We start from the raw sequence: 21,263 nt of genomic DNA on the forward strand, positions 1-21,263 counted from the left end.
GGAATTTTCCTTGTAGTAATGTGCTTAATTACAAATTCAATTTTTTAAATACATATAATATTGTTCAAGTTAACTATTTCTTCTCAATAAGCTTGGCAATTTGTGTCTTTCAAGAAATTTAGCCATTTTTTCTGCTACAAATGCCTTAGAGTTTTTATTGAATTTCCACATATATTTTTAATATACATAGCTTCTTTTTCAATAAAGAAGCTCACTTTTGAACCTAGTATTGGTAACTTATAACTTTCTTTTTTTCTTGATTACTCTAAGAGTTTTTATAAATAAGTTTTGTTGATATTTTAAACCTTGTTTCTTATGGACAGAGTAGTTGGGTCATGCTTTTTAAATCCATTCTGACCATCTCTGTCTTTTAATTGGATAATCTAATCCATTAACATTTATTGTAGTTATAAATTTTAATGCAGTTACTAATATAGTATTTTTTTTTGTTTTGGAGATGGAGTTTCACTTTTGTTGCCCAGGCTGGAGTGCAATGGCACAATCTCAGCTCACTGCAACCTGCGCCTCCTGAGTTCAAGCAATTCTCCTGCTTCAGCCTCCCGAGTAGCTGGAATTACAGGCACCCGCCACCACGTCTGGCTAATTTTTTGTACTTTTAGTAGAGATGGGGTTTCACCATGTTGGCCAGGCTGGTCTCGAGCTCCTGACCTCAGGTTATCCACCCACCTCAGCCTCCCAAAATTCTGGGATTACAGGCATGAGCCACCATGCCCAGTCACTAATATAGTATTGATGTTTGTAATACTAATGTAGTTATTGGTATGACTGGAATAACAACCAGCATTTGATTATTGGTTTTCTATTTGTCTCATTTTTTTTTCTTTTTCCTATTCTGCCTTCTTTAGGATTAATTGAAAATTTTTAGAATAACATTTTAATTTACTTATTGGCTTTTTGGTCATGCATTTTTTCAAATGTTTAGCACTCTCTCTAGTGATCTCACAGTACATCCTTAACTTTTTCACAACCCACGTATGGTTAATATTATACAATTTCATGTAAAATATATACTCTTAACAAGAGTATTAGTATGTTTACTGCCCTCCAACTTGAACACTTGTATTTGCAGTATATGTTATATTTATGTATATTTTAAATCTTGTAGTGTAGAACTATTTGCTTTAATTAGTGTATTAATTTATTGGGGCTTCCATAACAAGCATCAGAACCTGGGGGTCTTACAACAATAGACATTTTTCTCAGTTCTGGAGGCTACAAGTCTGAATCAAGGTGTTATCAGGGCTATGCTCTTTCTAAGACTTTAGAAAAGAATCCTTCTTTTTCTCTTCCTAGCTTCTAGTGGTTGCTAGTAATCCTTGTTTTACAGACACATCATTTCAATCTACCTGTCTTCACATGGTGTATTTCCTCTGAGTGCCTGTCTCCTCTATGTGTCTGTACATCTGTGTGTCCTCTGCTCTTCTTCTTTTTTTTTTTTTAAGATGGAGTCTTTCTCTGTCTCCCAGGTTGGAGTACAGTGGCATGATCTCAGCTCACTACAACCTCCACCTCCCGGGTTCAAGCAATTCTCCTGCCTCGGCCTCCAGAGTAGCTGGGACTACAGGTGCACACTGCCATGCCTGGCTAATTTTTTTTCACCGTGTTGCCCAGGCTGGTCGCGAACTCCTGAGCTCAGGCAATCCGCCTGCCTCGGCCTCCCAAAGTGCTGGGCTTACAGGCATGAGCCACCGCACCCAGTTCCTTCTCCTCTTCTTATAAGGACATCAGTCGTGATGGATTAGGGGTCACCACAGTTCAGTATGAAGTCATCTTAAAGTGAGGACATATACGAAGACCCTATTTCCAAATAAGGTCACATTCTGAGATTCTGAGTGAACATCAATTTTGAAGGGATGCTACTCAACATAGTACAAACACTTAGATATACTTTAAATAAGATGAAAACATATTTGTGTTTTCTCATACTCTTCTTTCTTTCCTAAAGTTCAAAGTATCCATTAACTCGTTTAACTCATAGTTTCTTTTAACTCAGCTTTAACAACTTTCTTTAGCATTTTCAGTGTAGATCTGCTAGGCATCACATCACATTGTCCTAGTTTTCTTTTACTTGAAAATGTCTTTAACATTTTTCTTGAAGGATATTTTCAATGAACATAGAATTTTGGATAACTTTTTCTTTTTCTTTCGATATTTTAAAGGTTCTTTTTCACTCTTTTTAAATCTCCATTATTTCTGATAAAGAGATATTCATAACTTCAATTGTTCTTCCTTATGCAATTTGTCAATTTTTTCTAAGTGCATCAGGTTTTTAATTTATCTTTGGTTTTCAGCAAATTGTAATATGTTTAGGTACAGTTTTTTTTTTTAAAAAAAAAACAGTCTGGGTTAATATTTACTGAACTTCTTGATTCTGTAAAATTTGATTTTTCTTCCAATTTTTAAATTTTTGGTACCAATTTCTTCAAATATTATTTTCTGTCCCTTTTTTTCAACTTCTAGAAGACATATGTATTTTACCACTTTTGATATAGTCCCAGGGAAGACTAGACCTCTATCATGTTTTTTTATTAATTTTTAATTCTGTTCTTCAGATTTAAAAATTCTTAATCATCTATTTTCCAGCTCAGTGGCTTTTTCCTCCCTTATGTCTATTTTGCTCTCAGCCCCTCCTTGAGTTTACTTCTAATTTAGATAATAAATGTTTTGGTTCTATAATTTCTATTTTGTTCTTTTCCACTGTTTCTTTTGTCATTCCCTCATCCTTTGCTATTTAAAAGCACATTTTCTTTTTGTTCCTGTACATAAACTACTTTAAAATCCATGCACGCAAATTCCAACATCTGTATCATCTCCATTTCTACTGACTATCCTATAATTCTTGAAGCCAACAACATGGTAGATTTTTCTATTAGAGTTTTATTGTCCCTGCATGACAGAGATTACAACTCTCCCTCTTACTAAATGCTGTTAAATTGTGAAACATGCCCAGAACCATCCCCGTCTACCAAATGCCAATATACTAGTGCTGGCTGTTTGAGTCTTGGCTATTTTGATCCACTTTCTGGTGCCTTCAGTTAGGTGGCTTTTGCTGTTGCTATTGTTTCATATTTGTATTTTTCCAGAGCTATGTTTTTTATCTGGGGGAAGTTTGATTCAATATGAGCTACTTGGCTATAATCGAGGGTTGGTTTTTAAAAAGTTTTTTTCATCTGTATTGTATAATCCTATTGATCTATCTTTAAGTTTACTAACCCTTTCTCTGACATTTCCAATATAATTTTTAATTCTACCTGGAGAAATTTTATATCATTTATTATAATTTTTCATTCAAAAATTTACATGTGATTGTTTTGATAGATTATATTTCTTTCCCAAGTTTTTGTTTCTTGTCATTTATTAAGATTTATTTCACATTAAAATTTTAATTATAGTTTTAATAGTTGCTTTAGATTTTTGGCCTTTTAAATCCAACATCCAGGTCATCTCTGGGACTGTTTCTATTGACTATTACTTTGTATATCTAGATTACTACCTAATTAGACATTTTTGTTGGTATGCTATAGACACTTAATTCTGTTTTCTTCTTCTGAAAAGTGTTCATTTTTATTCTAGCAGTTAGTCAATTGATGGCTGATCTCTTTGAGTTTTTGTAGTCTTGACTTCATGCTTTGTGGAAGGCCAAAGTGTGTACCAACCTTTCTAAATTTGACAAGGATCACACTCTAAATTCTGTCTTTTCTATGGAGAAGTTTGGTAATTGTCCCAAGACAAAGAGCCAGGGGAGACATGGGACTCATCTCATGAGTTCTCTTTTTACAAATAGTTCAATGTTTTGCCAAATGTAGAATGACTATGATTTATTGTTATATATTTTGTACATGCTTTTAATCGTGTATGCCACAATGACAGTCTGGTGCTAATTATGCCACATGAACAAATGAGGAAGTCCCTATTGGTTATCTTGAAACTCTCCTTCTTTGCTAGTTCCTTCAACCAGTATTTAAATATTGTCATGTCTCTCACCAAAGAAAGCAAAGAAACACAGCCCTTAAAACCTCTTATTTCTCTCATCTCCCACCCAATTTCTCCACTTTGCTGCATAGCTAACCTTATTAAAGTTTGTTCAAGATGGCCATCTCAACTCTTACAATTCCCATTCATTCATTATTATACTGTAATATGACTTACAGCTCCACTAGAAGACTGCAAGAGGACAATTTATCAATTGGTTTCTTGTCACTAAATGACAGGGAAATTATTCTACCAAGTCTTCAAAAAGAGCAATTTTACTCTCATATTTCAGTTTTCTACAAGGTGTCTCATATTTTGTGGGATTATCTGGTTTATTTAAACAAAATGTTTCCTTTGAAGAAGACACAGTAGCCTAAAATAACTTCAATCAGTACTAGTTTTGGAGGCTTAGGAGGCTTACAGAAGTCATGTGATAAAATCAGTTAAAAAATGAATTAAAGTTTTCTGAAGATATGTTCTTAATTTTAATTTTTGGGTATTTAAAAATAAGTCTTTTAAAGATTACTATAAAATAATATTATAAGACAAAATATAAAGATCACAAATAAATATCTGCAGGAAAAAGTATATTTTTATTTAAGATATCATCTTAAGGTTTTTGAATGAATACCTGAGCATCAGAAACATGTTTTAGAAGTGCTGTATCTATAAGAATTCGGAAGGTACTAAGGATGATATATTAGGGAACTCTTGTTAAATGAAGCAAAATGTGGTTCTAATGATTATGAAAACACTGATATCAAAAATGAATGCAAAGAATTTGAATAAAATTGTTTCATGAAATATCAGAGCTGGGCTTCTGTCACTTAAAGTGGAGTTCTGATATTGAGGTTAGAGAATTAGGCAGATGCCAGGGCACTCATGTGTTTACAGGCTGGTGAGCTTTTGGCTTTATAAGACTCAATTTGAATTTTACTTTTTTCAAATCAGTTCCAACTACTGTGGCCTTACCTTTACCCACAAACCAAGTGTTTACATATAGTCTTACTTATTCTGATTCACTGCTGATTTCATTGAGTATAGCTATTTGCTTATGTGTCATGTAGTCTTTGGAACTCTTATTGCCAGATATGTCACATCATTCTTTGTTTCCACAACATCCTGCACAAAATTTAGTCCATAATAAAAACAGTGGTTGGGGTAATGCTAAACACATACTACAATTCTTTTTTTCCCCTTTGTCATCATTAAAAATGGAAATCAATTAGAATAGCAGTTAAAGCAATTGCAAGTACAGCTTAGTGACCCTAGCTAACAGACAGGTTGGAGAGAGAGATAAGAAAATAAAAAGTAATCTATACAGTTAAAATAACTTGCAATCATGTGCATCTGCTCAAACATGCCATTGATTTTTACTTACTAACATTGTCAAAGTGTTTTATTTAGGATTAATACTTTTTATGTCCATAATTACTACAATATCTTAATCTAAAAATCTTTTCTTTCTTTTTTTTTTTTGGAGATAGAGTCTCTGTCGCCCAGGCTGGAGTGCAGTGGTACGATCTCCGCTCACTGCAACCTCCGCCTCCTGGGTTCAAGCAATTCTCTTGACTCAGCCTCCCGAGTAGCTGGGACTACAGGCACCTGCCACCATGCCCAGCTAATTTTTGGTATTTTTAGTAGAGACAGGGTTTCACCGTATTAGCCAGGATGGTCTTGATCTCCAGACTTGTGATCCGCCCACCTCAGCCTCCCAGAGTGCTGGGATTACAGGCATGAGCCACCGCGCCCGGCCTAAAAATATTTTCTAACAATTATTCTTAGTGTTGGTCTGGGTGTGAAGTGATGTTAGGAATTTCTGATCACCCAGCTCTGAAAAAAAAACCCATAATAACACTCTTAGGGGTCAGTCTCCCAAAGAGGGAAGTATCATATTCCTAAAATCAGGTGATCTCCTCATCTGGGAAGAAAAGATACAAGTCCAAGGCTGGCAGAGCAGGCTCTTAATTGTCAGAGCAGTGGTCTAAATTGAGAGAAGCATACTGATGGAACTAGGAAGCTATAACCCATATTTCCTATAACAGCAGAAGGAAATGGTTGCACCAGGTTGTACCAGAGAGAGTACCGTGCTTTGCAAGACCGCCTAGCTGCATTGGTATTCTCTACCTCTGACAGAGGAGGTTTGGAAATAAGGGCGCCACTTCATACATTTAAACTGATGAGGTTCTTTTGTGGCACATTCTGGAATGGTTAGAGGATGGCTTTGGAATTCCTTCCATAGCAGAGTAGTGGAACATTCTAATAGACCCTAGGATTCTGAAGATATTTTCCCAGTGTCCTCAGAACTTCTTCAATATAGAGTGAGACTCATCATAATTAACATCTCAAAATCTCTATGTAACTGATGTAATGTAGCCACTGGAGAGAGGATTTTTACAAAGTGTTTTGAGTTCCTTCAACATTGTATAAAATATCAATGGTCACTTCAACTGAAACTTGCAATGTGGAATATTTACACGTTGCGTGACATTCATTGTGTTGCTAGCCGCATAGCTATGATAGTTAGGTATATGTCAAAAGTGAAGAACACATCCTAGTATAAAGGGCACCAAACCAGTTATTATCTGCCTTTAGCACCTGCTTTCTCTTGAGATGTTTGTGTCACCAAATATTTCTTAAATATCAGGGAACTGCTTATTTTGCAACTAATCAATAAAAGGGCAGTTTATGAAATACTGAATGTGAATGTATAACACTGGTCATGAGAAATGATCCTGTTAAATGTTTATCAGGGATCTTTGTATTGAATTAATTTAACTTTTTCGTGCTGTGAAATGCTGTCATAAAACAAACGTTTAGATAAATGAGATTATACCAGAGGATGCACAGCATAAATATGTTGTCCTAAGATTCTGACCTTCTTTGTTTGCACATATTGAGGAAGAAGTAGAATTGTCTAGGCTTAGTTTTATGCATTTTGGGTTTTTTCCAAGAAATATATTATCCAAAATACTTTCTTATATAATTTATTTCACTTTATTGTCAGGCATAGAAATCACTGAATTAATAGTCTGTCTCATTTAGACATCAAATAAAACCTGGGAATCTAAATGGAGGGTAGATGTTAATGACATTTAATCTAGTATAAACATGTTTAAATCCATTGCTTTCCTCTTAACATCTAGCTCATGTCAGCAATACTGAGGATTCAGAAGTTTTAGATGGGATGAGGAGAAGAAAAAATTTTAACATGGGTCCTGCAAGGGAATGGAAGACTACCTGAGTCACTTTTGTCAGTTCTGAGTAGTCAGAAGGCAGCATGAAGACATTGCCTACATAAGGGCTGGGACTAGATATAGAGTAAACTAAGAAATAAAGTCCCAAAATAGACTGATCTTAATGAAAAGACTTGGAGAAGGCAATAACAGGATAATCGTCTATCCTGTAATAGGGAGAACAAGACAACAGCATCCAGGCTATTGGACATGTCTGCATGGAAGTCTTGGATTGCCAAACTCCATTGCAAACAGTTGAGACATTTGGGGTAAATATAAATGAAAACATTATAAATAATAATATTTTCACTGTCAAGTCATTCATAGCATTAGAAAATAAAAACCTTACCAGATGAATAACATAATGAACTTAGAAATAATAAATCTTTATTCTATAAAAGATTTTAAAAATTGGCATTTGAGTAGCATCCAGATCTTGTTCTCTAAAACTCATTTTTCAATTAAAGGAATCAGAGTTTAACATGCTTAAAAGATTTGAATGTGCCAGATGGTTTGGAAGTGCTCAAAAAATCATGGATATATAAAGGACTCAGGGGTCTACTTGAAGGAGTTCTCAATGTTCTAGTATGGGACAATTTAAACAACAAATTAAGTAACAATAGTAACAGATTGTAGCCAATAGAATAAGGTAAGTATCCATGCATGATAGATATTAACATGAATAAGAAATTGAATGCATAACAAATAGGAAGGCATGCATTCTTCCATAAAGTACAATTCCAAGTAATTTCTATAGAATGCACAATGGAAATATAAAATAACCACGAAGCAAACTCCAGAGCAATTGGGGCAGAAAAGAGACACTGATGTATTTAACATAGATGACAAATAGGACATTTGCATAATCTCAAAGTATCTTCCCACAGATATGCCTTAATTTCAAAGAAGAAAACCCAACTTTGCATGAGCAGTAATAAGACATGTGGATATCAAGCACCCCCTACTCTAATGCACTTGAAAGCATCTAACATTACCTCTGTTGTATTATTGCCAAATACCTGTAAACTCAATGTATTAAGAAGAAAACCGCAGACAAACCCAAGCTAAGGGACATTCTACTAACTGCCTGCCAGTATTCTTTAGAAGTATCAAGGCCTGAAACACGATAAAAGACTGAGGAACTTTCAGATTAGTCGAGACACAGGAGGCATGACAGCTGAGTGCAATGTGGAATTCTGAATTTGATCCTGGGCCAGAAAAAAAAATTAATGGGAAAACTTTAGTTGGAGGAGCCAAGATGGCCGAATAGGAACAGCTCCGGTCTACAGCTCCCAGCGTGAGCGACGCAGAAGACAGGTGATTTCTGCATTTCCATCTGAGGTACCGGGTTCATCTCACTAGGGAGTGCCAGACAGTGGGCGCAGGCCAGTGTGTGTGCGCACCGTGCGCGAGCCGAAGCAGGGCGAGGCATTGCCTCACCTGGGAAGCGCAAGGGGTCAGGGAGTTCCCTTTCCGAGTCAAAGAAAGGGGTGACGGACGCACCTGGAAAATCGGGTCACTCCCACCCGAATATTGCGCTTTTCAGACCGGCTTAAGAAACGGCGCACCACGAGACTATATCCCACACCTGGCTCAGAGGGTCCTACGCCCACGGAATCTCGCTGATTGCTAGCACAGCAGTCTGAGATCAAACTGCAAGGCGGCAACGAGGCTGGGGGAGGGGCGCCCGCCATTGCCCAGGCTTGCTTAGGTAAACAAAGCAGCGGGGAAGCTCGAACTGGGTGGAGCCCACCACAGCTCAAGGAGGCCTGCCTGCCTCTGTAGGCTCCACCTCTGGGGGCAGGGCACAGACAAACAAAAAGACAGCAGTAACCTCTGCAGACTTAAGTGTCCCTGTCTGACAGCTTTGAAGAGAGCAGTGGTTCTCCCAGCACGCAGCTGGAGATCTGAGAACGGGCAGACTGCCTCCTCAAGTGGGTCCCTGACCCCTGACCCCTAACCCCCGAGCAGCCTAACTGGGAGGCACCCCCCAGCAGGGGCACACTGACACCTCACACTGCAGGGTATTCCAACAGACCTGCAGCTGAGGGTCCTGTCTGTTAGAAGGAAAACTAACAACCAGAAAGGACATCTACACCGAAAACCCATCTGTACATCACCATCATCAAAGACCAAAAGTAGATAAAACCACAAAGATGGGGAAAAAACAGAACAGAAAAACTGGAAACTCTAAAACGCAGAGCGCCTCTCCTCCTCCAAAGGAACGCAGTTCCTCACCAGCAACAGAACAAAGCTGGATGGAGAATGATTTTGACGAGCTGAGAGAAGAAGGCTTCAGACGATCAAATTACTCTGAGCTACAGGAGGACATTCAAACCAAAGGCAAAGAAGTTGAAAACTTTGAAACAAATTTAGAAGAATGTATAACTAGAATAACCAATACAGAGAAGTGCTTAAAGGAGCTGATGGAGCTGAAAACCAAGGCTCGAGAACTACGTGAAGAATGCAGAAGCCTCAGGAGCCGATGCGATCAACTGGAAGAAAGGGTATCAGCAATGGAAGATGAAATGAATGAAATGAAGCGAGAAGGGAAGTTTAGAGAAAAAAGAATAAAAAGAAATGAGCAAAGCCTCCAAGAAATATGGGACTATGTGAAAAGACCAAATCTACGTCTGATTGGTGTACCTGAAAGTGATGTGGAGAATGGAACCAAGTTGGAAAACACTCTGCAGGATATTATCCAGGAGAACTTCCCCAATCTAGCAAGGCAGGCCAACGTTCAGATTCAGGAAATACAGAGAACTCCACAAAGATACTCCTCGAGAAGAGCAACTCCAAGACACATAATTGTCAGATTCACCAAAGTTGAAATGAAGGAAAAAATGTTAAGGGCAGCCAGAGAGAAAGGTCGGGTTACCCTCAAAGGAAAGCCCATCAGACTAACAGCGGATCTCTCGGCAGAAACCCTACAAGCCAGAAGAGAGTGGGGGCCAATATTCAACATTCTTAAAGAAAAGAATTTTCAACCCAGAATTTCATATCCAGCCAAACTAAGCTTCATAAGTGAAGGAGAAATAAAATACTTTATAGACAAGCAAATGCTGAGAGATTTTGTCACCACCAGGCCTGCCCTAAAAGAGCTCCTGAAGGAAGCCCTAAACATGGAAAGGAACAACCGGTACCAGCCGCTGCAAAATCATGCCAAAATGTAAAGACCATCGAGACTAGGAAGAAACTGCATCAACTAATGAGCAAAATCACCAGCTAACATCATAATGACAGGATCAAATTCACACATAACAATATTAACTTTAAATATAAATGGACTAAATTCTGCAATTAAAAGACACAGACTGGCAAGTTGGATAAAGAGTCAAGACCCATCAGTGTGCTGTATTCAGGAAACCCATCTCACGTGCAGAGACACACATAGGCTCAAAATAAAAGGATGGAGGAAGATCTACCAAGCCAATGGAAAACAAAAAAAGGCAGGGGTTGCAATCCTAGTCTCTGATAAAACAGACTTTAAACCAACAAAGATCAAAAGAGACAAAGAAGGCCATTACATAATGGTAAAGGGATCAATTCAACAAGAGGAGCTAACTATCCTAAATATTTATGCACCCAATACAGGAGCACTCAGATTCATAAAGCAAGTCCTGAGTGACCTACAAAGAGACTTAGACTCCCACACATTAATAATGGGAGACTTTAACACCCCACTGTCAACATTAGACAGATCAACGAGACAGAAAGTCAACAAGGATACCCAGGAATTGAACTCAGCTCTGCACCAAGCAGACCTAATAGACATCTACAGAACTCTCCACCCCAAATCAACAGAATATACATTTTTTTCAGCACCACACCACACCTATTCCAAAATTGACCACATACTTGGAAGTAAAGCTCTCCTCAGCAAATGTAAAAGAACAGAAATTATAACAAACTATCTCTCAGACCACAGTGCAATCAAACTAGAACTCAGGATTAAGAATCTCACTCAAAGCCGCTCAACTACATGGAAACTGAACAACCTGCTCCTGAATGACTACTGGGTACATAACGAAATGAAGGCAGAAATAAAGATGTTCTTTGAAACCAATGAGAACAAAGACACCACATACCAGAATCTCTGGGACGCATTCAAAGCAGTGTGTAGAGGGAAATTTATAGCACTAAATGCCTACAAGAGAAAGCAGGAAAGATCCAAAATTGACACCCTAACATCACAATTAAAAGAACTAGAAAAGCAAGAGCAAACCCATTCAAAAGCTAGCAGAAGGCAAGAAATAACTAAAATCAGAGCAGAACTGAAGGAAATAGAGACACAAAAAACCCTTCAAAAAATCAATGAATCCAGGAGCTGGTTTTTTGAAAGGATCAACAAAATTGATAGACCGCTAGCAAGACTAATAAAGAAAAAAAGAGAGAAGAATCAAATAGACACAATAAAAAATGATAAAGGGGATATCACCACCGATCCCACAGAAATACAAACTACCATCAGAGAATACTACAAACACCTCTACGCAAATAAACTAGAAAATCTAGAAGAAATGGATACATTCCTCGACACATACACTCTCCCAAGACTAAACCAGGAAGAAGTTGAATCTCTGAATAGACCAATAACAGGCTCTGAAATTGTGGCAATAATCAATAGTTTACCAACCAAAAAGAGTCCAGGACCAGATGGATTCACAGCCGAATTCTACCAGAGGTACAAGGAGGAACTGGTACCATTCCTTCTGAAACTATTCCAATCAATAGAAAAAGAGGGAATCCTCCCTAACTCATTTTATGAGGCCAGCATCATTCTGATACCAAAGCCGGGCAGAGACACAACCAAAAAAGAGAATTTTAGACCAATATCCTTGATGAACATTGATGCAAAAATCCTCAATAAAATACTGGCAAACCGAATCCAGCAGCACATCAAAAAGCTTATCCACCATGATCAAGTGGGCTTCATCCCTGGGATGCAAGGCTGGTTCAATATATGCAAATCAATAAATGTAATCCAGCATATAAACAGAGCCAAAGACAAAAACCACATGATTATCTCAATAGATGCAGAAAAAGCCTTTGACAAAATTCAACAACCCTTCATGCTAAAAACTCTCAATAAATTAGGTATTGATGGGACGTATTTCAAAATAATAAGAGCTATCTATGACAAACCCACAGCCAATATCATTCTGAATGGGCAAAAACTGGAAGCATTCCCTTTGAAAACTGGCACAAGACAGGGATGCCCTCTCTCACCGCTCCTATTCAACATAGTGTTGGAAGTTCTGGCCAGGGCAATCAGGCAGGAGAAGGAAATAAAGGGTATTCAATTAGGAAAAGAGGAAGTCAAATTGTCCCTGTTTGCAGACGACATGATTGTTTATCTAGAAAACCCCATCGTCTCAGCCCAAAATCTCCTTAAGCTGATAAGCAACTTCAGCAAAGTCTCAGGATACAAAATCAATGTACAAAAATCACAAGCATTCTTATACACCAACAACAGACAAACAGAGAGCCAAATCATGAGTGAACTCCCATTCACAATTGCTTCAAAGAGAATAAAATACCTAGGAATCCAACTTACAAGGGATGTGAAGGACCTCTTCAAGGAGAACTACAAACCACTGCTCAAGGAAATAAAAGAGGACACAAACAAATGGAAGAACATTCCATGCTCATGGGTAGGAAGAATCAATATCGTGAAAATGGCCATACTGCCCAAGGTAATTTACAGATTCAATGCCATCCCCATCAAGCTACCAATGACTTTCTTCACAGAATTGGAAAAAACTACTTTAAAGTTCATATGGAACCAAAAAAGAGCCCGCATCGCCAAGTCAATCCTAAGCCAAAAGAACAAAGCTGGAGGCATCACACTACCTGACTTCAAACTATACTACATGGCTACAGTAACCAAAACAGCATGGTACTGGTACCAAAACAGAGATATAGATCAATGGAACAGAACAGAGCTCTCAGAAATAATGCCACATATCTACAACTATCTGATCTTTGACAAACCTGAGAAAAACAAGCAATGGGGAAAGGATTCCCTATTTAATAAATGGTGCTGGGAAAACTGGCTAGCCATATGTAGAAAGCTGAAACTGGATCCCTTCCTTACACCTTATACAAAAATCAATTCAAGATGGATTAAAGATTTAAACGTTAGACCTAAAACCATAAAAACCCTAGAAGAAAACCTAGGCATTACCATTCAGGACATAGGCGTGGGCAAGGACTTCATGTCCAAAACACCAAAAGCAATGGCAACAAAAGACAAAATTGACAAATGGGATCTAATTAAACTAAAGAGCTTCTGCACAGCAAAAGAAACTACCATCAGAGTGAACAGGCAACCTACAAAATGGGAGAAAATTTTCGCAACCTACTCATCTGACAAAGGGCTAATATCCAGAATCTACAATGAACTCAAACAAATTTACAAGAAAAAAACAAACAACCCCATCAAAAAGTGGGCGAAGGACATGAACAGACACTTCTCAAAAGAAGACATTTATGCAGCCAAAAAACACATGAAGAAATGCTCATCATCACTGGCCATCAGAGAAATGCAAATCAAAACCACTATGAGATATCATCTCACACCAGTTAGAATGGCAATCATTAAAAAGTCAGGAAACAACAGGTGCTGGAGAGGATGTGGAGAAATAGGAACACTTTTACACTGTTGGTGGGACTGTAAACTAGTTCAACCATTGTGGAAGTCAGTGTGGCGATTCCTCAGGGATCTAGAACTAGGAATACCATTTGACCCAGCCATCCCATTACTGGGTATATACCCAAAGGACTATAAATCATGCTGCTATAAAGACACATGCACACGTATGTTTATTGCGGCACTATTCACAATAGCAAAGACTTGGAACCAACCCAAATGTCCAACAATGATAGACTGGATTAAGAAAATGTGGCACATATACACAATGGAATACTATGCAGCCATAAAAAATGATGAGTTCATGTCCTTTGTAGGGACATGGATGAAATTGGAAACCATCATTCTCAGTAAACTATCGCAAGAACAAAAAACCAAACACCGCATATTCTCACTCATAGGTGGGAATTGAACAATGAGATCACTTGGACACAGGAAGGGGAATATCACACTCTGGGGACTGTGGTGGGGTCGGGGGAGGGGGGAGGGATAGCATTGGGAGATATACCTAATGCTAGATGACACGTTAGTGGGTGCAGCGCACCAGCATGGCACATGTATACATATGTAACTAACCTGCACAATGTGCACATGTACCCTAAAACTTAGAGTATAATAAAAAAAAAAAAATTAAAAAAAAAAAAAAAAATTTGAAGGCTTAATTTAATGTGTAGGTAAGGCTTCCAATACTGCATTTCAATAGCACTTCTGGATGTCTTCAAATTACAATATGGTAGGACAGCAATGATGTTAATGATATTTACGTTGAATCCATTCTTCAATTGCAGTGTAATGTCAAAAATTAAAGCCTGGATTCCTCAGTCTATCAAAAAAAAAAAAAACTTTAAAAATTTGAGTAAGATCTAAAGGTGAGTTAATAGTATTATGTCAGTGTTAATTTCCTCATTTCAGTAACTGTACTATGGTTATGTAAATGATGATGTCATTAGGGGAAACTAGTTTAAGGGTTTACAGGAATTGTGTACTACATTTACACATTTTTAATCCTATAAATATTATACAATAAAAAGTAAAAATGAGAAAAATGTGGGCTTTGACTTCTTTTTTTTTTTGACCGAGTCTCCATCTCAGCTCACTGCAACCTCCGCCTCCCGGGTTCAAGTGATTATCCTGCCTCAGCCTCCCTAGAAGCTGGGACTACAGGTGCGCACCACCTCGCCCAGCTAATTTTTGTATTTTTAGTAGAGATCAGGTTTCACCATGTTGGCCAGGGTGGTCTCAATTTCTTGACCTCGTGATCCCCCCACCTCGGCCTCCCAAAGTGCTGGGATTACACGTGTGAGCAGCCACGCCTGGCCTGACCTCTTTATTTTAGCAAAAGCACTATTTATTGTTGGGTTCTAAGAAATTGCTAGTGTATGTACATTGTAGAAATAGCCATCTGGCATTTGGATATATGCTTTGTTGCGTGGCTGAGCCCTACTGAATTTCATCTTTAAGGCAAAAACGTTAGTGACCTCTTTTCTCTAAGTGATGCTTTAAGTGGTACTTTACCACAAGTACTGCCTCTCTAAATTACTGAAGGTTCCACGGAGAATTCTTGGCCAGGATCAGTTAGGGCTGATGATCAGTTATGAGGCAATTTTAAAGATGCAGAAGCAGTAAGAACCTTTTTCTGCAAAATTTGTCACATCATCTACAAGGTTCTTGATAATATTTGTTCTATTGCAATTGAGTTTAAAGAGATTGAGAAAATGTCCCTTCTGTGTCTACTATAAAATTAAAGATAGACTATTAAATTTCTCCATCTCCTATAATATGGGGATAAAAGAAGCAATAAAAACAATTGCTATATAACACTTTTGTTGTGAAAGTAATTTTCAAACACAAATTTCTTAGCAGGTGTAGAGCATTACTGACCTTTTAAGCTGTTATAAAATTTGTAGTAGGTGGAGATTATAGGAAAATTCCTTGCCCTTGGCTGTTTCCTTGAAGAGAATTGTGTTAGCCCTCATTCCAAGTCATCAAATGCCACTTCTTATCGCAGAGCCTATACTTGCACTGTCCTGAGGCCTACTTTCCTCAGCTTTCACCAGCCTCATTTGAATCATCCTTTACTTTTCAAGATTCAGCACCTAAATTAACTCTACTTGACAGCTCCTCTCCTCTTTTTCTTCTGCCCCTCCATTTATATGAGTCTTGAATAGCATGACCAAGGTACCAATCACTGTTTTATAAACGACTACTTAATGTCTCAGGATCCCACTCCAAGTTGTAGGCTCCTTGAGGGCAAGGGTTGAATCTTTTTCTTTTCTTATATTTAGTCTTAGGAGAGTTCCTGGTACATAGTAGATACACAGTAATTATTTGACAGAGAAGTGAATGAGTGAGTGAGTGAACTAGTAAATCGAAAGAGGATTCAAATTTGGTGAAACGTAAAACAAGCCCAGAGTACAAACTTGCAAACTTATCTGTAAGTTGGCAAAGTTATTTGCCAACATAAGTAAAATTCTAAAATGTCTAGTTGGGCTGGGCACAGTGGCTTATGCCTGTAATCTCAGCACTTTGGGTGGCCGAGGCAGGCAGATCACTTGAGACCAGGAGTTTGAGACCAGCCTGGCCAACATGGTGAAAACCCATCTCTAATAAAAGTGCAAAAATTAGGCGTGGTGATGCACGCCTGTAATCTCAGCTACTCAGGAGGCTGAAGCAGGAGAATTGCTTGACCCCAGGAGGCAGAGGTTTCAGTGAGCCGAAATCATGCCACTGCACTACAGTCTGGGCAACAGAGCAAGACTTTTTCCCAAAAAATAAAAATAAATAATAAATAAAATGTCTAGTTGGCATTTTTTCAGTATGTTTCAGAATTCTATATATCTAGTGTAATACAATAAAATTGTAGTCGGCCTGAACCAAGATGATGCATTGCTGTGCTGGGTTGAGCACCCCTTCTTACGACCACTCCAGTGCACAACACACACACATAAACTCACCTCTCAAATTTAGGAACTCACTCAATCTTCACTTCTGTCCAGATCCCACCTCTGTTTCGAAATTAACCTAACCTGCTCTCATTCCCAAAAGACTGATTAAGTTACTTAAAGGAAAGAATAATATTTGTCTTTGCTAGATAACATTTACACCTTAATAAAGAGAAGTTAAATCAAAATATACCTAAAATGAACAGTCCTAGATATGACAGAAAAATGAATAAGTTTTCTTTGTGTTGCTTATACTATGAAGGAGGACGTCTACTGGACCTAAATGTAAGGTCATACCTACATTTGGTATGATCATACCTTCATTTTGGTACAGAACACATTTAGCACTGATATATTTCAAAAATATGAAATCTCATTTTCACAGGATTTTTTATTAATCTTTCTCCAACCTACCTTTTATTCTTTACTACATTCTTAACCCTATTTGTTTCATAACTCTTTAGACTGTCATGAACCTTATAGGCATTTTTATTTCTTGTTTACACAAAAATCCTCAGCTTATAATTCTGTATTTTTCAAGTCCCAAATTATACTTTAAGATCAAATTAATAACTCACATAACCTAAAACAGCTACACAAAAAAATGTTTAAATGAGGAGGTAGGTTAGTTGCTAAGAAAATCTGATTCAGTGTATCATTCACATAGAGAATAGGTTCCATTTAATATTTTTTTCCAGTCTTTATCTCCTCAATGAATGTAAATTACACAAAAATGACCTTATTTAAGGTGAATTTTGTAGAAAATGCATGCTTTGACTTTTCATAAAATGAATTTTGCTAAGAAGTTCAGTTGACTTGGGGGGCCTGGCACAGTGGCTCACGCCTGTAATCTCAGCACTTTGGGAGGCTGAGGCAGGTAGATCACTAGGTCAAGAGCTCAAGACCATCCTGGCCAACATGGTGAAACCCCATCTCCACTAAAAATACAACAATTAGCCAAGCATGGTGGCGGGCACCTGTAGTCCCAGCTACTCGGGAGGCTGAAGCAGGAGAATCACTTGAACCCGGGAGGCAGAGCTTGCAGTGAGCCAAGATTGTGTGCCACTCCACTCCAGCCTGGTGAAAGAGCGAGACTCCATCTCAAAAAAAAAAAAAGAAGAAGAAGTTCAGTTGACTAACGCTTACTGAGCGCCATTTTGGTTTAGATGTTGATTTCTATACATCACATAGAGTTACAATTTAAGAAGTAGAGAGAGATATTATGAAATTTCTAAGTAAATTTACACTCCTTGTAATTTCTTCAGAATACACATAAAATGCATGTGATTCTCAACTCTATCCTCTAGATTTCATTATGTTTAAAAATTATTTTGCATTGATTCCATGTCTTTGCTATTGTGAATAGTGCTGCAATGAACATACGCATGCAAATCACCACAGCACACGTTTACCTAAGTAGCAAACTGCATGTACTGCACATGTATCCCAGAATTTAAAATAAAACAAAATTAAACTAAAAAAAATTAATTGACAAACCATTAGGTTAAGGTGACTCCAAGATGTTAAGTTCCTATGTAAGAAAACCAAAACTCGGCCAGGAGCAGTGGCTCATACCTGTAATCCCAGCACTTTGGGAGGCCGAGTCAGGTGGATCGCAAGGTCAGGAGATCGAGACCATCCTGGCTAACACAGCAAAACCCTGTCTCTACTAAAAATACAAAAAATTAGCTGGGGGTGGTGGCAGGTGCCTGTAGTCCCAGCTACTCGGGAGGCTGAGGTAGGAGAATGGCGTGAACCCAGGGGACGGAGCTTGCAGTGAGCTGTGATAGCGCCACTGCACTCCAGCCTGGGTGAAAGAGCGAGACTCCATCTCAAAAAAACAAAACAAAATGAAAACCAAAACTCAACTCAGAGTGAATGGTCATAACCTATGAAAAGAAAGATTAAGTTTAACCAATCAGAAACTGCCAACTAACCTTTGACTAGTGACTTTCCACTTTAACCAATCAAATATTTTCTTTGTCTTGCTTCTTCACATGCCTTATAAAAGTTTTCTCCTGGTGCCCCCTTGGTGGATCCCTGAACCACCTGAGGTCTCATGCTGCCTGATTGGTGAATTGCTGAATGCTTAAAGAAACTCATTACAATTTTGATGTACCTCTGTTTATCTTTAACAACTGAAAACTTAAAATATTAAGGTAATTAAATCCTAGAAAATGAATTTAAAATATCTACATTTCTTAAATTCAAAATTGATTTTAAAATTGTCTTTTGGCTTTTAGTGAATTTTTGATAAAATAACCATCTATTCTGTATTTAAAATCATATATTTATTTTTAAGTGGAAGATAAAATAAATACATAAAAATATTTGCTTAGGTTGAGGGATTGAAGGTTGAAGGATGCTTAATATATTTATATGCCAAGAAAGAGCAGTTTAAGAAATAGCTTTATTTTGATACCATTTAGTATATGCACATATCTTGTGAAATATGAAAAACTTGAAAATATATCTCAAACCATGGCAGTCTGAGTAAAACAACTAGTAGATGTTATTTTATTCTGTTTATTTCTCTCTGTTGCTTATTTCCGCTTGAATATGTATTACTTTTCTAATTTTAGAAGTAAAGAAAATATTTTTAAAAGGAAAAGGAAAAATAAAAAAGAGCAGTAGCCCAGGTACTGCTCTTTCAGTACTGGTTTCTTTTCTTTGTGCCAAATAACAAAGAAACCATTGGCAATGTACATGCAACGTACATCCATGTTCCTAAACTTGACTGATAAATTTAATGTTGAATGGTCAAGTCAGTATACATTTTTATACCCTTTTACAATTCATTCAAGGGCCAGTTCTGTCTCTATTTTACACCATGTCTTAGAATGTCAGTCATTCACCCATTTTAATTCTCGCTTAAAATAAATGATTTAATTTCAAATCTACAGTCTTACAGGGAAACATAGAGCATCTGACAAACTTAAGCAAGAGATAATTAACTTGTCAACAACATTTTTTCTTCCTGACATAGAGAACTAAAAATTCAAGAGCATTTCAAGTCATTCTGGTGTAATTTTGTATAGAAAGGGGAATATTTTCTCAGAATTTAGGGCTATTTTCAAAATTCTTTCTTTCCTTGTAGCTAGAAGAAAATTATTATAAGAAAAAAATATTTATCCTGTAGAGAACTCAAGTAGAGGTAAAAAAGATTTTACCTTAATTTTAAAAAGATATTTGGCATAAAGTAGGCAACTATGTTGCAAAATAAATTTCCATTTGAAATGTGTGATTGCAGAAAACCCAACCCTGATAATAGTGTAAAACAAATTGCCCACTGGGTTTTCTGTCATAAATATGGAAGTGTTTCAGTTAGGAAAATGTAAAAATAATATTTGCTAGGGAATATTAGAGAACATATCACTGATGAAATTGAAAGTATTCCTCTTGTGCCTTAGCTACTTTATGTTGTCTTTCTCAGAAAAATGAAATTATGATAGTTTCCTCTTGATTGAAGATCCAAAAAGGCCCACACATAGTGATTGTTTCATGGGTTTCATAAGATACTTTTAATTTCTTTTTTGCTTGTTTTTATTTGTTGAAGAAACCTGGACAATTTTCCTGTAGAGTTTCCTTAATTGTTACTTTTTCTAATTGCATCACTACGTTTCTCTGATCTCTGAATGTCTTTTAAATTGGTAGTTAGAGCTAGGGTTAATTTGGTCAAGTTTGATTGGTTTTTGTTTTGGGGTTTTTTTGTTTTTTTTTTTGTTTTATGATCAACATGGCTTTAGAAGTGGTATGGATTCTTCCAAGAAAAAAAACATGTTTCTTTTGTTATGTTTGTGGCCATGGATGTCCAGATCCATGAATTCATTAGGTTTGAAAAGTTGGTTATAAAGGACCTATTCCTGCATCCACTCCTTGTTTACCCAGAGGTAAACATTTTATGTTTCAATCATTTACAGTTATTTTCAGGATCTATATTCCAATTGTTTCAAATTTGGACATTGGGACATTACTGTGCACTTTTGATACAATCATAATGTCTTTGATAGTCTAGCCCTCAAAAAATTAAAATTTCCTTCCCATATCTTATTCAAATAATGGAAATAGTAAAGAATACAATGGATATAAGAAAGTCTGACCAGGTGCAGTGGTGCAGACCTGTAGTACCAGCTACTTGGGAGGCTGAGGCAGTAGGATAGCTCGAGACCAGGAGTTCGAGGTTATAGTGTATTATTATTGTGCCTGTAAATAGCCCCTTCACTTCAGCCTCCATTTCTTAAAAAATAAGTATGAAGAAATTTTGATCATTTTCTATAATGATTAGTTTAATATTTTCTTAACAATTATATACTAAGTTCTTTTGAAAATATATTAGTGGGGTGGATGATTTAATGTTACCGATACCCTAAACAGGTGCTTCCTATGCCTATTGGATAAATAACTCTAACACCAAGCACTAAAAGTATCATCAATAGCTGT

At 37.2% G+C, this 21,263-nt stretch overlaps 1 protein-coding gene across 3 annotated transcripts in view, besides 1 other annotated feature; it reads left to right on the forward strand.

Annotated features, from left to right (window-relative positions):
• Window positions 1-21,263, forward strand: part of XIRP2 (xin actin binding repeat containing 2) — a 371,274-nt gene that overhangs the window by 91,500 nt on the left and 258,511 nt on the right. The gene's annotated exons all lie outside the window — the stretch shown is intronic.
• Window positions 8,172-8,775: an enhancer, noted in NCBI's record as "OCT4-NANOG-H3K27ac-H3K4me1 hESC enhancer chr2:167844661-167845264 (GRCh37/hg19 assembly coordinates)". NCBI's record gives its function as "activates a minimal SCP1, AML or CMV promoter by ChIP-STARR-seq in primed H9 embryonic stem cells {active_cell/tissue: H9 hESC(primed)}" and the evidence as "EXISTENCE:reporter gene assay evidence [ECO:0000049][PMID:30033119]".

Source organism: Homo sapiens, chromosome 2 (genome assembly GCF_000001405.40).
Source record: "Homo sapiens chromosome 2, GRCh38.p14 Primary Assembly".
NCBI lineage: Eukaryota > Metazoa > Chordata > Mammalia > Primates > Hominidae > Homo > Homo sapiens.